This window comes from Homo sapiens, chromosome 9 (assembly GCF_000001405.40).
Source record: "Homo sapiens chromosome 9, GRCh38.p14 Primary Assembly".
NCBI classification, from domain to species: domain Eukaryota; kingdom Metazoa; phylum Chordata; class Mammalia; order Primates; family Hominidae; genus Homo; species Homo sapiens.
In genome coordinates, this window is record NC_000009.12 from 124150275 (window position 1) to 124156652 (window position 6378).

Below are 6378 nucleotides of genomic sequence, written 5' to 3' on the forward strand. Positions count from 1 at the left end.
CACATCCACAGGGAAGAATTGTGTACTATATCCCTAGGGTATCAAATGATTTCATCTTCCTATGTTAACTATAAGTGACTGCTAGTGGCTTCCCAAAGAGCTCTCTTGGGGAGAAAAATGAAATCTTGTGTATGTTTAACAGGAAATTATTCCAAGATTGATTAACGACTAATTAATTAATTTCCATAGGTGGAAAATGAGTGAGCCATGAAATGGTTGCTAGGCATTTGCCAATGCTAGTCTAACCCTTAGAATATCATGATTCTTAGCTGAATAATTCAATCCTATCCTTCAACAATCCTAACTAATTCTTCATATTTGTTATTTGGCAAATATCTTGCTGCAGGCTTGAACTTGTGCTTCACTTATTGACAGTTTTCTCTATTATCTTCCAGTAGATGACTGAGCGTCTGCCTTGCTTTTTCTGTTCAATATTTTGGCTCCCTGAACCCTAATCCACCAAGCTGAGACCTTGGACTTCCATTTTGGCTTTGATATCCTCCCAGGTGTCTGCCATTATCTATGACAGTCTGTGTCCTAAGAGTGGTCTTATTTCAATCTAGATGGACTTTTCTCCCAGTCAGAACTGCAACACCTCTTTGCATGCCTCTGTTTATGTTAATCAAGGGATCAACCCTAGGAATATCAATTCCATCCCAGGCCAGGAGCAAGCACCTAGGCACCTTTAGGCTCTTTGATTTGATCTCTTTTCCTCCTGCTTTACTTTTCCATTTGTCTTTCCAGTCCTGACCATGCTGAATGCCAGCATCCTCCTGCATCTTCTCTGTTTTCCTTGAATACTGAGGAGCTCCAGTTTAGAAGAGGCTACATTCAGAGCATGCTCCAACCCCTGACCACCATCTCACCTATCTCCTATCTGGACTCCTGGCAGGATGCTCAGACTGCAAACACAAATATAGACCTCTGTGCCTGGCACAACAAGACATTGATCTCATGAGTCTCAACACCATTTCTTGTTCCCTCTGGGTATCTATGCTCAGGACTCCCCCACAGCCTTCTGAGTTCCATTCGCTGAGAGACTCTCAAGGGTCAAAGACCAGGGATGCTTCCCTATAGAAAGGAGGAACAGAGCATGCTGAAATGGGTCTCTGGGATCTCCTGCCCATCTTGGAATCATATTCCCTTCATATATAATCAGACACTCTGACATTATCTTAGTTTATAACTATTATAACAGGCAGGCTGGGATGTTGGTCAGAATGGAGAGACTTGGGCCCTGTGGGAATCTGGGTACAATGATCAGCAGGATCTTGAGGGAGCATCTGAGCACAGAGCTGGGCTGTCGCCTGTAGGTTCAACTTCCACAGTCTTTTGCTCTTTATCTTTTTTCTGTCTCTCTCAGAACTCCAGGCTTCGTGTCTTCCCTTTCTCCTTTTCTTACTCCTCCCTCTGTTCCCTCTGCTTTTCTTCCTTGAAAATAACTTTTAATTAATCTTGTTTTTATTTTAAAGTGATCTTTTTATTTGGAAAATACAGTAAAACACCAATAACTGAAAATTCCGTCATTCAGAGGCATCCACTATTACCACCTGCCATATTCTTCCAGTCTCTTTCCTTTTTTTCTTTTTTTTAACAGAATGATTTCAAATTTGTTTATTAATACAACAATAAACGATCCCATCTTGGTTGTCAAATATTTCAACGATAGAAATACAGACAGTAAAATTGAAGTGTTCCCTTTATACTCCTCCAACTTCAACTCCTTCTTAGAGGTAACCACTGCAATCTTTTGTGTTGTATATATTCTGGGTACTTAAGTTTTACATGTTTATGTATTAGTTGGAAATTATGTTTAGCCTCTTGAAAGAGACTGATGGAAGTAGAAACAGAAGCAGAAAAGCGTATTGTCTTCTCCTGGAAAAGCATTCTGAAGGTAGGTACCACAGCAGCTTCATGGTTGTAAGGGACCTGGACTCCTCTGAACTTTCTGCTCTTCTGTTCTTGGCTTTGGCTTCTATGACCCCATGGTCCAGAAGGTTTGTGGGGGTTCCAGCCACCATGTCCTTATTCAAGACAGAAGGAAGGGCCAGGTGTGGTGCCTCCTGCCTGTAATCCAGCACTTTGGAAGGCTGAGACAAGAGGATTGCTTGAGCCCAGGAGTTCAAGACCAGTTCAAGACAAACATAGAGAGAACCCATTTCTACCCCCACCAAAAAAAAATTAGCTGGGCATGGTGGTGTGCACCTGTAGTCCTATCTACTTGGGAGGCTGAAGCAGGAGGATTGCTTGAGCCCAGGAATTCAAGGCTGCAATGAGCCATGATTATACCACTGCCCTCCAGGTTGGGCAACAGAGTGAGACCCTATCTCAAGGAAAAAAAGAAAGGAGGGAGAAGGAAAAATGGAATGACAAAGAGAGAGTGCCTTGGCTGTCAGTTTTCCTTTTAAAGAGCCTTCCCAGAAGACTGTCCTAATAACTTCTGTTTATATATTATTGGACAGAACTTAGTCATACAACTATCCCTACCTACAAGGGAGGCTGGGATCTGTGGTCATTTAGCTAGTTATGTTGTACTTCTATTACTAAGGAAGAAAGGAAAATGACACTAGCTAAATAATTACATCTTTCTGTCACAATGTATATTTTTTATTTTTACATAAATGTGATTATATCATATTTATAGATTTTCAACTTCATTTTTTCGCCTTCAGTTTACCTTGAGAATTTTTTCAATATCACAATATATAGTTCTCTCCTAGTCTTTTAAACTGACATCTGGCATTTCATCAGTTTATATTACGATTTATTTAACTACTCCTCCACTGATAAAAATTTAAGTGCAGACTCCTTGTGCAATGATTCTGCAGAATAGATTCTTGAAAAAAGTTTGCTCAAAGAGTATGTACATTTAAATTTTGGATAGATACTGCCAAATTTTCATCCAAAAATGCTTTATAAATTTACAGATCTGCCAACCATATACAAAAGGACTTGTTTTTTTCACATTATCTCCATCACTGGATATTACTATTTTATAGTTTATTAATTTGGAGGTAAAATGTCATTGAATATTATATTAATTTCTAATTTCTATAATTATTTAAAGTTTAGGCGAATTTTACATTTATTCATAATTATTTGTATTTCTTCTTTTTGAATTTACTGTTCAGTTTTTTTGCGCATTTCTTGTTGAGTTGTTTCCTACAGATTTGTAGTAGTTCTTCATGTATACTGAGTATTGATCTTTTTTTTTTTTTTGAGATGGAGTCTTGCTCTGTCTCCCAGGCTGGAGTGCAGTGGCACAATCTCAGCTCACTGCAAGCTCCGCCTCCCGGGTTCATGCCATTCTCCTGCCTCAGCCTCCCAAGTAGCTGGGACTACAGGCGCCCACCACCACGCCTGGCTAACTTTTTGCATTTTTAGTAGAGACAGGGTTTCACAGTGTTAGCCAGGATGGTCTTGATCTCCTGACCTTGTGATCCGCCCGCTTCTGCCTTCCAAAGTGCTGGGGTTACAGGCGTGAGCACTGCGCCTGTCCGAGTATTGATCTTTTATCTGTTATATACATTACAAATATTTCTCTCATTCTGTTGGTTTTCTCTTAATATTATTTATGTGATATTTCATTATACAGAAATTTTATATGTATTGTCATATCTGTCCATCTTTTTCACATAAGCTTGTCTTTTTAATGGAGACTTTCCTGCCATGAAATATTCTTCACGGAAGTTTTTCTGCCAAGAGATTTTAAAAATATTCTTCTACTTTTTCTTCTTAAATTTTTATATTTATTTTTAAAATTCCATATGTTTCATTGGTCCATTCATATCTTCTCTCATCAATACCATAGAGTGTTAATAACTGTAATGTTGTACTTTGGTATCTTGTAGTGAAAGTCTTCATTATTGTTCTCTTTTTAAAGTTTCTTGGCTATTCTTATACATTTCCTCTTGCAAAAACTTTAGAATCATAAATCAGTAATAAAAACATTTCCCAACCAAAAAAAAGCTCATGACAGCCATTTTCACAGACAAATTCTACCAGATGTACAAAGAACTGGTACCAACCCTACTGAAACTGTTCCAAAAGATCAAGGAGGAGGGAGTCTTCCCTAACTCATTCTACAAAGCCAGTATCACCCTAACAACGCTAGGCAAGAACACAATAACAAAAAAGGAAACCACAAGCCAATATCCCTGATGAACACAGATGCAAAAATCCTCAGCAAAATACTAGCGACCTCAATTCAATAGTACATCAAAAAGATAATAAACTAAGATCAAGCAGGTTTTATTCCAGGATGCAAGGATGGTTCAACATACGCAAATCAATAAATGTGATTCACCACATAAATAGAATTAAAAACAAAAAGCATATGATCATCTCAATAGATGCAGAAAAGGCATTCAATAAAATTCTGCATCACTTCACGATAAAAATCCTCAACAAAGTAGGCATAGAGTAAATATACCTCAAAATAGTAAAAGCCACATATGATAAACCCATAGCCAATGTCATACTGAATGGGAAAAAGTTAAAAGCATTCCCCTTAAGAAGTGGAATAAGACAAAGATGCCCATTTTCACTACTCCCACTCAACACAGTACTGGAAGTCCTAGCTAGAGCAATAAGGCAAGAGAAAGAATAAAAGGCATTTGCCAGTCACAGTGGCTCAAGCCTGTAATCCCAGCACTTTCGGAGGCCCAGGCGGGTGGATCACATGAGGTCAGGAGTTTGAGACCAGCCTGGCCAACATGGTGAAACCCCTGTCTCAACTAAAAATACAAAATTAGCCGCGTGTGGTGATGCATGCCTGTAGTCCCAGCTACTCTGGAGGCAGAGCCAGGGGAATCGCTTGAACCTAGGAGGCCGAGGCTGCTGAAGTGAACCGAGATCGCACCACTGCACTCCAGCCTGGGCAAGACAGAGCAAGACTCCGTCTCAATAAAAAAAGAAAGAAAAGAGAGAGAAAGAATACTCTTTTCCTCCTGAGGGTCTTGGGAAATTCCCCTTCCCACCTCTCTGATCTTTTTACTGCCTCCATAAGTCTAAACTGATTTGATATTTAACACTACTACCAACAATATATGAGAATTTCAGTTGCTCTGCATGTTTTCCTCTGCAAGTTTTATAGTTTTAACTTTCATGTTTAGGGTTTTTTGTTTTTGTTTTAGAGATGGGATCTTGCTCTGTTGCCCAGGCTGGAGTGCAGTGACACCACTATAGCTCACTGCAGTCTCCAGTGCCTGGGTTCAAGCAATCTTCCCATTTCAGCCTTCTGAGTAGCTGGGATTGCAGGTATGAGCCACTGTACCCAGCTATGCTTAGGTTTTAAAACATATATATTTCAGGTCAATTTTTGTGTATGATGTGAAATGGGTAAAGGTTTATTTTTCCATATGGATATCCAGTTGTCCCAGTTCCATCTGTTGACAAGACTTACCTTTCCCCATTGGATTACTTTGGTGCTCTTATTTAAAATTAAGTATTAGAGCTCTCTATTTTGTTCCATTGATACATTGTTGCCCTTATAGTCCTTATAAATCTTATAGAGTCCTTGTAGCAGTACCATAATCTTAATTACTTGAGGTTAGGTAGGAAAGCCTTCCAAATTTATCTTCTGGACTGCTTTGCCTATTCTAAGTCATTTGCATTTCCAAATAACTTTTGAATTAGTTGACATATTGCTACCAAATAATCTTTGTGGGATTATAACTGAGATTAAGTTAAATTTATAGATCAGTTTGGGGAGAATTGATATGTTAATATTTTTGTGTCTTTCAATTCATGAACATCTTATATATTTCCATTTATTTAGGTCTTCTTCAATTTCATTCAGAAATGTATTATACTTTTCAGTATAGATATCTCACGTAATTTTTGTTAAATTTATTCTTATGATTATATGTATTTTAATCCTTTTGTAAGTCAACTTGTTTTTTAGACTTTATTTTCCAATTGTTTCATACAGTATATAAATATCTAATTAATTTTTGTATATTACCCTTCTGTATGTGACCTCACTAAATTCAGGTGTTAGTTCTAGTAGTTGTTTTATAGCTTCCCTGAGATTTTCTGCCTAAACAATTATGTTATGCCATCTGCAAATAGAGAAGATTGTATTTCTTTTTATTGCCTTATTGCAATGCTTAGGATCTTTGGGACCCTATTGATTAGAATTGGGTGAGTGTGCACTTATCTTGGTCAGTTTGGACTAAATATCAAATATACCATAGACTGGGTGGCTCAAATAACAAGCATTTATTTCTCACAATTCTGAAGGCAGGTAAGCCCAAGATCAGGTGCCAGCAGATCCAGTGTGTGGTGAGGGACCCACTTCCTCCCCCTCCTCCTCCTCCTCCTCTTCTTCTTCATCTTCTTCTTTCTTCTTCTTCTTCCTCCTTCTCCTCTTCTTTC